At 47.1% G+C, this 16566-nt stretch overlaps 2 protein-coding genes across 9 annotated transcripts in view, besides 2 other annotated features; one reads left to right on the forward strand and one right to left on the reverse strand.

Annotated features, from left to right (window-relative positions):
* SLC36A1 (solute carrier family 36 member 1) overlaps positions 1-16566 on the forward strand; it is a 211490-nt gene that overhangs the window by 148197 nt on the left and 46727 nt on the right. The gene's annotated exons all lie outside the window — the stretch shown is intronic.
* Positions 3199-3748: an enhancer, noted in NCBI's record as "OCT4-NANOG-H3K27ac hESC enhancer chr5:150875552-150876101 (GRCh37/hg19 assembly coordinates)". NCBI's record gives its function as "activates a minimal SCP1, AML or CMV promoter by ChIP-STARR-seq in primed H9 embryonic stem cells {active_cell/tissue: H9 hESC(primed)}" and the evidence as "EXISTENCE:reporter gene assay evidence [ECO:0000049][PMID:30033119]".
* Positions 5086-5747: an enhancer, noted in NCBI's record as "H3K27ac-H3K4me1 hESC enhancer chr5:150877439-150878100 (GRCh37/hg19 assembly coordinates)". NCBI's record gives its function as "activates a minimal SCP1, AML or CMV promoter by ChIP-STARR-seq in primed H9 embryonic stem cells {active_cell/tissue: H9 hESC(primed)}" and the evidence as "EXISTENCE:reporter gene assay evidence [ECO:0000049][PMID:30033119]".
* Positions 11300-16566, reverse strand: part of FAT2 (FAT atypical cadherin 2) — a 90728-nt gene continuing 85461 nt past the window's right edge. For 5 of the 6 annotated variants that reach the window (XM_017009225.2, XM_011537600.3, XM_017009224.2 and 2 more), the window contains 2 exons: positions 14362-14819; positions 11300-13305 (listed from right to left, as the gene is read on the reverse strand). In XM_017009225.2, the coding sequence (XP_016864714.1) occupies positions 12773-13305; positions 14362-14819 (991 nt within the window). In that variant the 3' untranslated portion in view covers positions 11300-12772. Of the gene's footprint in view, positions 13306-14361; positions 14820-16566 lie in introns of those variants that run through there. The other variant, XM_047416934.1, reaches the window with a different exon arrangement.

Consider the following 16566-nt stretch of genomic DNA (forward strand, 5'->3'; position numbering starts at 1 on the left):
TTCTCAATATTGTGGGTGGGCCACATCCAATCAGTATAAAGGCCTTTAGAACAAAGCTGAGGTTTCCTTGGAGAAGAAATTCTGCCTCCAGACTGCAGCATCAGCTCCTGCCTACAGGCCTGCCCTATGACTCGCAGACTTGCCGACTCATACGGTCATGGGAGCCAGTTCCTTGATTTGTCTCTCTCTCAGTCTCTCTATGTGTATCTGTGTTCACATATGTGTGTGTGTGTGTATATATATATCTCCTACTGGCTTTGTTTCTCTGAAGAAACCGGACACAACAGGTAACACTTAATTTTCTTGAAATGTGGAGATTAATTTCAGGACAGGACAATGGAAGAGATGACACCCCTTCCCTTCCCTTTTTGTCACTGAGTGGGAAAACACACTTAAGGCTTAAAATGTTTATTCTCTCACTCAATACATTTCCCCGCCCCCCAAAATACTTGAGAATTTGTTCGCACCAGCAAGCATACAATCACTTCTGCGGCAAACACTAGCCAGGTGTGCTCCAATTCAATTCTGACACCACCTGCCTGAAGATGGCATCAGATCCCACAGGACGAGGGCTCAGTCCCCAAGAGTGACACCCCCACCACCACCACTTCCAGTGCCAATTGCAAGTACCAGGTTGTTTACCTGTGCTTCTGACTGGCTAAAAATTTTAAATCAGGGTTCCCATGACTCTGTTTTGGGGTTCAATTAATTTGCTAGAGTAGCTCATAGAACTCAGGAAAATACATTTACCAGTATAAGTTTTAAAACAGAGCCTTCAAAGAATACTCTTAAAGTATAACATTTTACCAAGAGAGGAAGGTGGGCATGTAGTCTGACTATTTTCGTTGTCATTATCATTTCTGGAACAGGAAGGTCAAAGAGATTTAGCAGCTACGCCAAGCCACCAACTAGTAGTTAGCAGCATTGGGATACACACACAAGTCTTCTGGTTCCAGAACCTGAGTGCTTCCCAAGGCGCTGGCTGCCTGTCTGTTGCAGCCTCAAGAGGAAGGTTTGCCTTGGGAATTGTCCTGAGGGTTAGAGAGAATGTTGTAAAGTGCCATATGTCATAATCACAAAGGGCTTATTAAACATTTTCTGAAATATTAGCTGACTTGTAGAAAACCAGGACTCCAAAATACTTCTGCTTGTTGTTCTGGCTGTCCATCCATGCACTGATGTCTTGCTCACTTCCTCTGTGGAGGCCACTCAATCCTCTTTTAGGTTGTCTACCTCCTGAATTTTTTATTTCTGCTCACATTTATACCTAATGGCTGGAACCCCTTCTTCCAGAAAGCCAGGGCCCTCAGGTAAGCCCATTGCATTACTACTGGAGGCATAAACCTGAGTGACAGTGGACTGAATTTGGACCCTAAGCCTGGGGCTCTTTGCTATGTAGGTTGCCTTCCTCATACTTTGCCCATTGCGGTTGTGCTGAGGAACTATGTGTGTCTTTAATGGGTATGCTTTACTAGACCCTTGGCCATTGGTCTCCTTTTTTAAAAAAAATGGAGTATAATTTACATGTAATTAAATTTAAATTTACCTTTTTCAAATGTGCAGTTCAATGTGTTTTGCATACAGTCATGTGACCACCATCTCAATCAAGATACAGAATGTTTCCTTTGCCCCCAGAAGGTCCCTTGTGCCCCTTTGCAATCAATCCCATCCTCACACCACTCAGCCCTTGGCAACTGCTAATCTGTTTTATCTGTCTCCAGTTTTGTCTTTTCTAGAATGTCATATAAAACCGTTACATATGTAGCCCTTTGTGTCTGGTTTCTTTCACTTAACATAATCATCCTTTTTATATTCCTCCATGTTGTTACATGTATCTGTAATTGGTTCTTTTTATTGCTGAGTAGTATCTATTGCGTGGATGAACCATAATTTGTTTATCCATTCATTAGTTGATAGTCTTTGAGGTTGCTTCAAATTTTTAGTTATTATGGCTTATGTTATTTTAATGTAAATTTCTGGTAAACAATTTAGAAACTACCTCTTCTTTCTTCCTTTAAAACTCACTTCTAACTGCTGCTAATCAGAGTATGTTATGAGGGCAACTTGAATCTGTGCTTCCCAGTGGCCATTCGCAAGTTTTGGGCTCAAATATACTCTATATTTAATTATAAAAAAATTACTATTATGAATAAAGCTGCTATAAATACTCATGTACAGGTCTTTGTGTAGACCTATGTTTTTATTTCTCTTGAGTAAATACCTAGAGGTGAAATGATGAGGTTGTATGGGAAATGTGTGCTAACTTTTGGCAAATTATTTTCCAAAGTGGCCGTTCCTTGTTGGATTCCTAATGTATAACAGTTACAGTTGCTCCATATCTTCACCAATACTTAATATTGTGGTCTTTTAAATTTTAGCCCTTCTAATAGGTGTGAAGTGGCATCTCATTACGGTTTTAATTTGCATTTCCCCAATGGCTAGTGATGTTTTGCACCTCTTTACGTGCTTATTGGCCTAAGGAAGTACTTGTTCAAATATTTTGCCTCTTAAAATTCAGTCATCTACTTCTTTTGATATAGGTTTTTTATTGGGAAATAATTGTAGATTACAGGAAGACTCAAAGGCACAGGAGGGAGGTCCAGGTCCAGAGCACTCTTCAGCTGGGCTTCCCAGTGTTAACATCTTGCATAACTGTAGTACATTATTGAAACCAGGAAATTGACATTAGCACAATCCATAGAGCTGATTCAGATTTCATTAGTTATACAGATACTCATTTGTGTGTGTGTGTTTGTGTATAGCTGTATGCAATGTTATCATGAGTAGCTTTGTATACACCACCACCACAATCTAGATGCCTAACTGTACCGTCACCTCAAGACTCCTTATGCTACCCCTTTATAGATACCCACTCCCTTCAGTCCCCCACATCCCTAACCTTCCCCAGAAGCCACGAATCTGTTCATCTCTATAATTTTATTCATGAAATTAATAATAATAATTCAATAAATTGAATTATGCCATATGTATCTTTTGGGGATTGGCTTCTTTCACTCAGTATAATTTCCTTGATGTTCATCTAAGTTGTTGCATTTATCAATAGTTTTTTTCTTTTTATTGCTGAGTAGGGTTCCATGGTACTGATGTTTAACCCTTCAGTCACTGAAAGAAATGTGCAGTTTCCGGATTTAGTTATTACAAATAAAGTACTATAAATATTTGTACAAGTGTTCCTGCATGAAAATCAGTTTTAATTTCTCTGGGATATATGCCCAGGAGCACAATTGCTGAATTGTATGGTGATATGGTTTGACTCAGATCTCATCTTGAATTTCCACATGTTGTGGGAGGGACCCGGTGGGAGGTGACTGATTTGTGGGGGCATGTCTTTCCTGCGCTGTTCTCGTGATGGTGAATAAGTCTCACGAGATCTGATGGTTTTAAAAAGGGGTGTCTCCCTGCACAAACTCATTCTCTGTTTGCCTACCGCCATCCGCTTAAGATGTGACCTGCTCCTCCTTGCCTTCCGCCGCGATTGTGAGGCCTCCTCAGCTATGTGGAACTGTAAATCGAATTAAACCTCTTTCTTTTGTAAATTGCCCAGTCTCTGGTATGTCTGGTATGTCTTTATCAGCAGCGCGAAAACAGACTAGTACGTATGGTAAGCCCATTATTCGTTTTAAAAGGAACTTCTAAACCATTTTCCAGAGTGACTACCATTTTGCTACTCCAGCAACAATGTATGAGTGATCTATTTCCTCTGCAACTTTGCCAGCCTTTGGTGTTACCACTATTTGTGGTGTTTGTTTGTTTGTTTTTTGAGACACAGTCTCACTCTGTCACCCAGGCTGGAGTGCAGTGGCACCATCTCAGCTCACTGCAACCCCTGCCTCCTGGGTTCAAGCGATTCTCCTGTCTCAGCCTCTCGAGTAGCTGGGACTACAGGTGCATGCCACCACGCCTAGCTGATTTTTGTACTTTTAGTAGAGAGGGGGCTTTGCCATGTTGGTCAGGCTGGTCTTGAACTTCTGACCTAGGTGATCCTTCCTGACACTATTTGTTATTTTAACCATTTATCAGATCCTGTGTTTTGTTAGATTTATACTTAAGTATTTAATTTTCTTTGGAGCAATTATAAATGGTATTTTTTATTCCAGTTTCTGTGTGTCCATTGGTAGTATATAGAAATATAACTGATTTGTGTATTTTAATCTTGTATCCTGTGACCTTTCTGTACTCGATAATTCTAGGAGTTTTTGGTTAGATTTCTTGAGATTTTCTATTTAGACAACCATGTTGTCTGCAAATAGAGATAGATGCATTTCTTCTTTTCCAGTGTCTATCTCTTTTCTTTCTTTCTTTCTTTTTTGTCATATTGCAATGGTTCAAATTTCCAGTTTAAAAAAAGTGGTGAGAGTGAACATCCTAGTCCAGTCCCTGATCTTGTAGGGAAAGCATTCAGTCTTTCACTTTAAGTATGATGTAAGTAGTATAATTTTTATAGAAGTTCCCCTCTATTTCTGTACTGAGATATTTAAAAATCATGAATGAGTACTGAATTTTGTCAAATGCTTTTTCTGTATCTGATATGATCGTATAGTTTTTCTTTTTTCACCTTTTGATATGGTGGATTCCATTGATTGATTTTTGAATATTGAACTGGCCTTGCTTACTTGGAATAAATCCTACTTGATCATTGTATACTATTCTTTATATTGTTAGATTGCCTTTCATTTTTCACTCACCCTGATATTTACTCTGACAGATGTAGAATCCAGAATGGTGCCTTTTTAGAAATGAGCAAAGCCATATGCATAACTTCTATTTTTGGCATAAGGGTACTTTTGCCCCAGGCTGGATTTCCGGCTGCTCTGGTGCTACAGAAAGGCTGCGTGGGTTTCTTTAGGACAGAGTTTCTTTACCTCACTATTACTGCCATTTGGGGCTGCAGAATTCTTGTTGAGGGGCTTTTCTGTGCATTCTAGGATGTTTAGCAGCATCCTGGGCCTCTGCCCACTAGATGTCAGTTGCACCCTGCAAGTTGTGACAACTAAAAATGTCTCCAGAATTGCCAAATATCCCCTTGGCTGGAGTGGGGGATGGGGTGGAAATTGCCCACCTCAGCTGCCAGGAACCAATGCCTGAGAACATTTGGTGCCCACCTACCTTTAGCTGGGGGGATGTCCTTTTTTTTTTTTTCTTTTTTTTTGAGACGAAGTCTTGCTCTAATCCCCCAGGCTGGAGTACAATGGTGCAATCTTGGCTCACTGCAACCTCCACCTCCTGGGTTCAAGCGATTCTCTGCCTCAGCCTCCTAAGTAGCTGGGATTACAGGCGCCTGCCACCACGCCCGACTAATTTTTGTATTTTTAGTAGAGACGGGGTTTCACCATGTTGGCCAGGCTGGTCTCGAACTCCTGACCTCAGGTGATCCACCCACCTCGGCCTCCCAAAGTGCTGGGATTACAGGTGTGAGCCACTGCGCACGGCCAGGGGGGTGGGAATGTCCTTTTATTATGGCCATGGAACAAAGGAAAGTGTGTCAATATGGATACTACACAATGAGCTGCTTTTTCAGTAGTAATGGTAAAATATCTCTAACATCTCCTGAACATTCAGTATACAAACTATGCTAAGCACTTTATGTATATTGTCTCCTTTAATACTCAAATCCAGTGAAGGAAAGTACTGGTAATATCCCCACTTTGCAAACTAGGCATAAAAGGTTAAATGACTTGCCCAAGATCACGTTTCCAAAGCGGTGAAGCCAGGTCTGTCTGACATCAAACCTCACGTCCTTGCTGCTGCAATCTTCTCCCCTGCCAGTTGATTCCTTCATTCCTCACCTCCTTCACTGAGCACGGCACATTTCCAAGCCTGTCTTTTGACTCCAGCCTGCTTTGCACCCTGCCCTCCATAAGTCACTCCCAGCTGTCAGAACTACCCACCATTGCCCAAATACTTAAAATCTCTAGGCCTTCCCTTTGGGATTTTCCCTTAGCCTAGCTGACCCTCCTTTCTGTGCTAAATTGGAAGCTCTGCTTTAAGACCCAGCTCAGATGGCTGGGCCCCTGTGGACCCATCCTGGCCAGTTCAGTCAGAACTTTACAGCTCCCTCCTCAGCAATGCTGTCACCTCCCTCCTCTGGTTATCCTCATACCTGCCTGCGCTGGAGACGTGGCTGCTCGGCCACTTTCCCCAGATTGTGAGCTGCCTGAGGGCACTGATCAATCAGATGAAATCTACTCCCACTCTGCCCTTGGGGGCTAATTACGTATCTGAAATCTTTGGTTACTAAATTCAGTGTAGTCTCCTTCTGTAGTGAATAGTGCCCTGGCCTGGTAAGGAGGTGACATCACTATATTGTCAGCTTTGTATCAATCTAACCAGGCACCTTTCTTGGTTGGACACTTTGGATTCATTGAGGAATTTTGAGAAAAGTTTTAAAATTGTCTTTTTGCAGCTGGATGCCTGAGAAAGTTCCTGCTTTTCATTCAGTGAAACAGCTGGTGCCCCTCTTCTAGAAGCAGTCAGAGGCTGCCCGAGGGTTTCCAAAGCCTGTCCTTAGACACCGCACCACAGGTGATGGACCAGCACCTGGGTCTGGCACCCTAGCAGGCTGGCATTGCACCAGTGTTTCAAGTCGTGCAAAGAGGTTGGGTTGACTCTTCTATACTGGACCAGCTGCGAGCCCTGGGCGCGTCACTCCATGCCTTAAAACTCTACCTGCTGGGTCTTTTTTGCCCTCTAGCTCTTTTAGAATCTTCATACATAATCTTCAGTCCAACAGATGTCGTTTTCCCCCCAAGGCCTTTGGCTCTGCCTTTGCTTATCCCCAGATGCTCACTTTTTGAGGGTTCTAGCCCAGTCCTCATGCCTGCCTCGGAGATCCCATGTGCCTCCCTCCAGAGCACTGCCCTGATGCCTGGAAAACATATGTGTCCTTCCTGTAAAGGCTTGAAAACCACCCCTGTAACAACAACTGTGCAAGCCCTCCCTCATCCGCCAGCCCCTGAAGGAAGTCGTTTCCCAATTCTCCTGTTTCCCAATTCTTACACCGTTTGTCCTGGCAAATCCCAGCTGCGTTTCCTTCTCCAATAGCAAGGCCTTGTCTGGCTCCTGAAACCACTCCTCACAGCAGGGCAGCAAGTCCCCACCCTGCCCCTCCCTTCTGGCCTGCTCCTCTAGCGATGCTCAAAGTTGCTGTGCCACTCTTAAGGTCCAGCCCCAAAAGTGGATGTAGGGCTTCGGGAGAGGCCTGGGGTTGAGTCCTAAGTTGAGCAGACCCCCACCTCCCCAAATCTGGGCCCCCTGGCTCTGTGCCACCTAGAAATTAGCATGGCCTTCTCTTGGCTTGTTCTGAACTCAGCCTGTTCCGTTGCACTTGCTGCTGCTCATCAGTCCCCTGTATTTGTAATTTATTTCGCGAACCCAAACGTAAGGCGCACCTCCCGAGTCAGGCCGACCTGGACTGGAATCCTGGTCCTGTCACTCATGAACTCTGTGACTTACCTTATTTAAGTTACTAACATAAATTAGGGGTCCCTCAGTTTATCTGTGCCTCGGTTTCTCCATTTGTAAATGATGATAGTACCTACCTCATTAGGGTTTTGTTGTTGTTGTTGTTGTTTTGAGACGGAATCTCGTTCTGTCACCCAGGCTGGAGTGCAGTGGCATGATCTCGGCTCACTGCAAACTCCGTCTCCTGGGTTCAAGTGATTCTCTTGCCTCAGCCTCCTGAGTAGCTGGGATTACAGGCACACGCCACCATGCCCAGCTAGTTTTTGTATTTTTAGTAGAGACGGGGTTTCACCATGTTGGCCAGGTTGGTCTCGAACTCCTGACCTCAGGTGATCCAACCACCTCGGCCTCCCAAAGTGCTGGGATTACAGGTGGGAGCCACTGTGCCTGGCCCCTCATTAGGTTTTTGTGAGAATTAAATGAGATAAGACGCTGAGTGCTTGCACAGCACCTGGCATAGCAAATGCTCAGTAAAAGGAGGCAGTAGAGGTGGTGGCTGATGGTAGTGACGGTCACGATGGTGAACTGCAAGTCTGCCTGAGCCCCAGTGGTTTAGGATGCCGGGATTTACCTGAAAACCTTTAGGCCTCCCCGCAGGCCCAGTAAACTGGTCCTTGATCCCAGAGAGCCCTCTGGTGGCTAATCTGTGAAGGCGCAGGCTGCGGAAGAAAAGGAGAAGGCGGGGCCTGGTGGGGAGAGGATGGAGGTGGGCTGGTTAAGAAGGCGTTCCCCATCCAGGAGAATGGGAGGCAGGGAGGTGCTGTGTGGACATCCCCAGACTGGGTGTCGGACCTGCCTTGGGGTCTTGCCCCTGGAATTCCGGCTGTGAGACCTCAGACAAACCCTTTCTCTATGGGCCTTAGCATGTGAAACATCAGGAATGAGGAGGACCAGGTCATTGTTTCCCAAAGACGAAGAGGGGGCCCCTGACAGTCATTTTTTAATCTGAATGGTTACATATTTTCATGGTATCATAATTAGTGTGCGACAGAGCTGGGCTTGGAATCAAACCTGTTCAACCTCAGAGCCACTGCCTGCGTGGTGTCTCCCACGGGTGTGCCTTCTTTGCCCAGCTGGATTGGGAACTTGAAGGCAGGGACTGGGCTTTCCTGTCTCGGTGTCATCATGGTTGCCTGGTGAAGTCACATTTAGCTGGCGACTAAGGGTGCGCTGTGGAGTAGCAGCCAGAGGCTGACTCTGGGTCCCAGGAGGGACCAGGCTGGTTTTGAACTCCTGACCTCAGGTGATCTGCCCACCTTGGCCTCCCAAAGTGCTGGGATTACAGGTGTGAGCCACACACCCGGCCTGGTATTATTTTCTGTCATACTGGCCACCATTTATTGTTTATGCTTTAATAAACTTTCCATTTACATGTATTTCTCATGACAATATGAGATAGCTATTATTCCTATATTATTTACTATCTTCATTTTACTGAGGAATGAGAGGCCTAACTGAACTTTGACAAAGGAGCAAAGGCACCACAATGGAGCGAACAGCCTTTTCAGCAAATGGTGCTGGACAGCTGGACAGCCACATGCAAACAAAATGAATCTAGATCTTACATCCTTCACAAAAAGTAACTTAAAGTGGACCATAGACCTAAATGTAAAATGCAAAACTATAAAACTCCTAGATGATAACATAGGAGAAAACCTGGAGACCTTGGGTTTAGCAATGAGTTTTTAAATAAAACACCGAGGGCATTCTGTATAAAAGAAATAAGCCAGACTTCCTTAAAATTAAAAACGAGTAGGGCAGGTGCGGTGGCTCATGCCTGTAATCTCAGCACTTTGGGATGCGGAGGCGGGTGGATCACCTGAGGTCAGGAGTTCAAGACCAGCCTGGCCAACATGGCGAAACCCTGTCTCTACTAAAAATACAAGAATTAGCTGGGTGTGGTGGTGGGCACCTGTAATCCCAGCTACTCAGGAGGCTGAGGTGGGAGAATTGCTTGAACCCAGGAGGTAGAGGTTGCAGTAAGTCGAGACTGTGCCACTGCACTTCAGCCTGGGCAACAGAGTGAGACTCTGTCAAAAAAAAAAAAAGTTAAAAACCTATGCTTTGTAAAAGACAGTGTCAAGAAGACAAGGCACAGACTGAGAAAATATTTTCAAAGGCATATCTGATAAAATACTGTTTTCTAAAATATACAAAGAACTCTTAATACTCAACATTGAGAAAACAAACCAGTTTAAAAATGAGCCAAACATCTTAACAGCCACGTCACTAAAGCAGATCTATAGATGTCAAAAAAAAAGCACATGAAAAGATGCTCCACATCATATGTCATCAGGGAAATGCAAAATTAAGACAACAGTGAGATACCGCACCGCACACCCATTAGAAAGGTGGAAACCCAGAACACAGACACCACCAAATGCTGGTGAGAATGTGGAGCAAAAGGAGTTCTCATTCACTGCTGGTGGGAACGTGGAATGGTTCAGCCACTCTGGAAGACTGTTTGCCAGTATTTACCCAGAGCTAACCTATATCTACATAAAACCTGCACACAGATGTTTATAGCAGTTGTATTCATAGTTGCCAAAACTTGGAAGCAACCAAGATGTCCTTGAGAAGGTGAATGGGTAAATAAACTGTAGTACATCCAGACAGTGGAGTATTATTCGGCACTACAAAGAAATGATCAAGCCCTGAAAAGATATGGAGGAATCTTAAATGCATATTACTAAGTAAAAGAAGCAAGTTTGAAAAAGCTACGTATCATATGATTCCAACTATATGACATGCTGGAAAACTATGGAGACAGCAATAAGTTTCGTGGTTGCCAGGGGTTAGGGGGCAGGAGGGAAGAGTAGGAAGAGCACAGAGGATTTTTAGGGCAGTGAAACCATCTGCAAGAGCCTGTAATGCTGGATACATATTATACATTTGTCCAAACCCATAGAATGTGCAACACCAAGAGTGAACCCTAATGTAAACTATGGACTGTAGGTGATAATGACCCATCAATGGAGAGTTGTCAGTTGCAACAACTATACCATTCTGGTGGGGAATGTTAATAATGAGGGAGGCTATGTATGGGAGGGAAGGCATATCGCTGTACCTTCCATTCAGTGTTTCTGTGAGCCATAAAACTGCTCTAAAAAAATTCTCTTTGAAAAATGAGAGGCCAAGTCATATCTGCTCAAGGCCACATAATTAGTGTGCGACAGAGCTGGGCTTGGAATCAAACCTGTTCAACCTCAGAGCCACTGCCTGCGTGGTGTCTCCCACGGGTGTGCCTTCTTTGCCCAGCTGGATTGGGAACTTGAAGGCAGGGACTGGGCTTTCCTGTCTCGGTGTCATCATGGTTGCCTGGTGAAGTCACATTTAGCTGGCGACTAAGGGTGCGCTGTGGAGTAGCAGCCAGAGGCTGACTCTGGGTCCCAGGAGGGCCAGCTTCCCAAGACTTCTGATAGTTAAGTCCCTTCTCCGTAACTAATGCCATGCAGTGCAAAGAGTGCTGGCAAGGGCAGGAAGCCCCAGGTCTTGTCCTGGGCTTTAGCTAGCCTGCTAGTTAGTGGACTCATCACTCAGAGCCTCAGAGCCCCAGAGCCCCATCTAAATGGAGGGGCTTGAACCACTGCAGACAGTTGTATCAGAGGCAGAGGGTTTTTTCCAAATAGTTTCCTGGGCCCCACCCCCAGAAGTTCTGGTTTTGTGTCTGGGATAGGTAATGTTGCCAGGTTGGGAATCTCTGTTGCTTGACAATCTCTAGGATCCCTTCCAGCTCCCAAAATCCATGAATCTTGGAACGGCCTGTGGACCCTTGCATCGTTCCCCTGACCCCAAACAGGCTAAAGGACACAGAAAATAACAGTAAAAAAAGATACTTTATTGTTAAAAAAAAAATGACCAATGAAACTATGTATCTGTCACTCACACTCACAGTCACACACACAGCCACAAACCACTCACACAAATTGGCTCTCGCCCACACATCTCCCTCTCGCATGAAGCAGCAGCCCTGTGGGCAAGGCTCCACTGCTCTTCCTTTTGACTTCTGTCTCCAGAAACAACACATATGAAAAGGCAGTGGACCAGAGGGAGGGACTGGGTGGGAGGGAGTGGTGAGGTCACCAAAGGCCACAGAGGCTTCTGGTCCCCACCACTCCTGGCTACATACACTCTACACATGTGTACACACGTACTATCCATGGGCACCCACATGTGTAGACATGTGCCCACATTGACCCTCCATGCATAGGGTTGAGTCGCCGCAGGTAATACTTGATGGGCAGGCGTCTGCAATGGAGAGGAGGCAATGGCAGGTGTCCAGCCTGGACACTGCGGTCCAGCTCCCTGCTTCCAACCGGCCCTAAATAGGAGTTCAGACTTCCTTGTGTCTAGGGAAGAAAAATCCCATTGAGGAAACTCATCCAGACAGCAAGGTCAAAAAGTGCCTAAGAATTTTTAAAATGAAGAATTAGTTCCTTCCTTCCTTTGGCCAAAAGTGCCTGGGAAACTTGGGATGAAGAACCCAGAGTTCCATGAGGTCTGAATTCTTTAACAAAGAAGGTTCAGAGCTGTGTAGACTCCTGGCAGGCCCTGACTGGCAGCCAGTGGTGTGACTCTGAGGTGGGCCCGTTCCTCTGCGTGTAGGCTGAGGAGTGGGACCTCTGGGGCCCGAGGCCTGGTGGTGCTCCTCGGAGTCCTTGTTGCCCTCCATCACCATTTTCTCCCCGGTGCAAAGCACAGTGCCTGACGTGGAGCAGACACTTGACAAAGACACAGTGAGTGCTCGACTGAGGCAGGGGCAGAGGGGACTGTGCCCGCTCCCCTGCTGCTCACCTCTCAGCCCCTAGGAGGATGCCACGCAGCCCTCTAGAGCTCCTCTGTACGGCCCGCGTAGTGGTTGTCTGTCAGGCACCAACCTGCCTGCCTCCAAAATGGAGCTGTGGGCAGGTATGAGAATGCATCTTGGTGAAGTTGAGCCAGCACAGTCAATCAGGCTCTGCCCCGGGGACTGAGAGCCGGCAGATCAGGGAGCCCTCCTGTCTCTCGCCCACCCCGGGAGTCAATTGTTCCTGGTTTTCCAGGGTCACTGCTCTAGAAATGCCCCTCTCCTGGGACCCTAGTGCTGTTTCTGGAGCTCTATCCTCAGCTTCCCTCCACCCTCAGGGACTAGGTGGGGGATTGGAAGAGCACATTTCAAGGGACAACAGCCTGGGCTGAGGGCTTCCCTCCCACTCTCCCAGCCACACTCAACTCACCCCCTACGAGACAGGAAGAAATAAGCCAAGTCCAGTCCTTGGCCTCCCGCCTGCCTTGCTCTGGGAATGGGAAGCTAGAACATGACCTCCTCACAGCTGCCATAATCACTCTCCACCATGTCAGAGCCCTCATAGTTGGGGGGCACCCGGGGCTGGCCCTGGCCTGCAAGAGGTGCCCCCTCCACCTCACAGACAGCATAAGAGGGCCCAGCTCGGCTGAGGCGCATACCCACCCCCTTGTAGCCCCCGTCTGCCAGGCAGGGCCCTCCCCCTCCCTGCCGGAACTGCGAGTGGTAGTAGCTGATGGCCGTGTACTCATTGAGACAGGGGGCAACCAGGCGCTCCCGGGGACTAGGGGGCCGAGAGGGCATCAGATCTTCCAGGTTCTGGTTGCTGTAACGGGGTGGGAGAGGTGCCCGCTTGTTTTCCATCTCCAGGGGGAAGGGGAAGCCCCCATAGAGGCCATTAGGCTCTGGCATCACGACTGGGGTTGAGTGGCGGTGAGCCGAGGGCGGCAGAGGGCCCTGAGTCACTTCGGAGTGGGGGTATTCCCAGCGTTCGTTCCTGGAGTAAGTAGGGGGCCAGACCATGGCTCCGCCAGGGTACACTGAAAGGGAACAGCAAGATAGGGTGAGCTCATTTTCTCCCCGGAAGGTTTCAGCTGGCTCTATAGCAACTATATATAACCTAGCGAGTGGTGGAGATGGGAGTGGGTGGGCATAGGCCCATCTGTGCAGGTTGTCTCTGTTGGCTTACGTTGATAACATAGAATCCAATGGGACAAGCTCAAGGCTAGAGGTTTGACCTAAGGCCAGCCCATCTTGCAAATCCCTGCCACTAATCTGAGGGTCAGTGAACAAGGGAAGGATTTGGATGTCTCCATGCAACCCACCCCCACAGCTGGATACAGTAACTCCATCCCAAGTCCTACTGGTGAGTTTCATCCCCTTAACTGAAGGAAACACACACACAGTTTGGACTCACTCACAGGTGTGATGGAGTCTATCATGGAGAGTGATGAAATGAGATGTGGCTCGGAAATCAGGAGACCAGGAGCCCTTGGTCCTAGCCCTGCCTCTGCTACTGAATAGTTGGGTTAGTTAGAACAAGTCACTGCATCTTGATGGGCCTCGGTTTCCGTATTTGACACATAGTGAAAATACCTATCATAACTGCTAATGATTATGCCAAAACATGAAGTGCTTTACTAATGCACCCCCTTTTGAGCCAAAGATGAGAAGAAGGTGATATTCCCCCTCTAGGTCAGCCAGGTCTGGCCCAAGGCTGCTGCACTTCCACACTGGGCAACCAGAAGCTTAGACCACTTCTCCTTTCCCTTCCCAGAAAAGCACAAATGTGCAGAAGCCCCCTTCTCACTCCAAGGGTTCTACCCAACCCTATCCAGGGTCTACACATTTCTGTCATGAACCTCAATCCCATGGAGTGACTTGGAATTTAAAGGAGTGCAATAGAATGAGCCTCAGAAACCTGGTATCTGCTCCAGCATCCGTGCCCTGTAATCTTGAACACATCTCATCATGTCCCATCCCAAAGGGTTGGATGCGTGGTAGCTAAAAATGCCTGTGCCTCAGATAACGGAGTGTTTAGAACCACCACCCACTTCCATCAATCCCAGAGGCTAAGCGTCTCTGGCTATACTGACCCATCTCCTCGCTGGACCAGGTTCTCTTAATGACAGGCTCATTGTCAGAGTGGGAAGGGACCGCAGCTGGCGGGAGTCTGGGGGGCACACTGCAGACCACTGGCCGTTGCTTAGAATTGGGTCCAAATGTGACGAGTTCATTTGGAACAGAGGCCTTGCTGGGTTCCGGTTGGTTGAGGTTGTTGCAGGAGCTGGCACTCAATGGGTTGAGCTCGATGGCAGGCATGGCTTGGGTGTCAACACCAACACTCCTGGCCAGGAGGTCTGGGTCCTCCATGGCCACAGGCTTGTGAGACTTGCAACGGCGGCAGTAGAAGAGAAGCCCGACAGTGCTTATGATAATGAACGCCACGGCCACTGTGATGATCAGTAACTCCTGCTGCCCCCAGTCCCCCCTTTGGATCTCGGGAGTGACTAGGCAGTGTCCTTCTGAACAACCCCTCGCCTCCATTTCACACCTGCGGAGACAGAGTAGTCAGGGGGCCAAGTCATGAAATTGCCCTTTCCATGTCCCCTCTTACAGAGATCTATGGGATAGAGACTGCTCCCCCCAAAACCTACCATCTCCCGTTTTTCACCCCCCAAAAAAGTAACTATCAAGCATATCAACATCAGAACTTTCCACCTTCCACCAGTAAAGTATGGGTCTCAGCTACATCCTCATTTGTGACCATTAGGATCTGGGAATGTCTATTATTTTTCCAGCAATGAGATCTAGGCACTGTATACACTCTCTATCATGAGGTCGGATTTCCTCCCATATCACTGCAGTAGAGACATCGACTCTCTAGCAATGATGTCAGGGTTCCAGATACAAGTCAGCATTGCCCAGTTATAGCAGCCAGGCACCAATGTTCCCTGCTGTGCTTCACCAGGAGGTCACAGGAGCCAACGTGGTCCTGCACAGATCAGCCACCTTACAATGGGCAACTTGCTCAGAGAAAGCATGCGAACTCTCAGGGTACCTCTAGCTTGGCATTCCATGGTGTGAAGCTCCAGGGAAACTTCTGTGGCCAGCTTTATCCACTTTTGAGGGCTATTGGGAAAGTTTGCCCCATCCCATTTGAGTCCAAAACATTTCTCAGTGCCCGAAATGTCACTACCAGTTGTTTGTTATTTTGGGTTAAATGTTGTTTTCCCCAAGGTCCTCTTTTAAAATGCAGACACCACTTTCAGCTGTGAAATGTCCTCCCAACACATCTCGTGAACGAATAGCATTCCCGACTGCAAAGCAGGGCAGGACACACCAGTTGCTGAGAAAAAGGACTGAAGTCGACTGGGCGCAGTGGCTCATGCCTGTAATCCCAGCACTTTGGGCAGCCGAGTCAGCGGGATCACTTGAGGTCAGGAATTCAAGACCAGACTGGCCAGTATGGTGAAACCCCGTATCTACTAAAAATACAAAAATTAGCCAGGTGTTATGGCACATGCCTGTAATCCCAGCTACTTGGCAGGCTGAGGCAGGGGAATGGCTTGAACCTAGGAGTCAGAGGTTGCAGTGAGCCGAGATTGTGCCATTGCACTGCAGCCTGGGCGACAGAGTGAAACTCCTTCTCAAAAAAAAAAAAAAAGGACTGGGGTCATCAGCATACCCAGAGTAATCATGGGAAAGCCCTTTCCCTGCCTGGGCCTCAGTTACTGCAGCTGTAAAATGAGTGGGTGAACTACATCACTGGCTCTTATACACAGGCTAATAGCAAAGGGATCCACTGAGAGCTTGTTAAAAATAGAAGCTAGGCCCATTCTTGGAGATTCTGATTCAGTTGGTCTAGGCTGGATCTTGGAATCTATATTTTTCATGTCTCTTTCATGATTCTTTAAAGGCTCCCAAGTTTGGGAGCCCTAAAACCAGATAATTGTCAAAGTCTCTTTCTCTCTAGGATTCTAGGAATGACAGTTTCCCTTGCAACTGCCACAGCCCCACACAGTATGAGGCACAGACAGCTGGCAGTGGGGTTCCAGGCACAGCAGCACCTGCCCAAGTGGAACCATTTTCCCCAGGTCACTGGGAAGTTCAGGTCCAGAGTGAGAGAATAAGCACTTCAGCCATTTTCAGACTGCAGCAAGGACCAGAACTACCTGAGGAGCTGGTTAAATGTACAGATTGCTAAGCCCCAGCTTGTGATTCTGAGACAGTATGTTCAGAATAGGGCTGGGGAAATCTCTAATAAGCAGCTTCCTCCTCCAGAAGTGTTGTAATGCAGG

Source organism: Homo sapiens, chromosome 5 (assembly GCF_000001405.40).
Source record: "Homo sapiens chromosome 5, GRCh38.p14 Primary Assembly".
Lineage (NCBI taxonomy): Eukaryota > Metazoa > Chordata > Mammalia > Primates > Hominidae > Homo > Homo sapiens.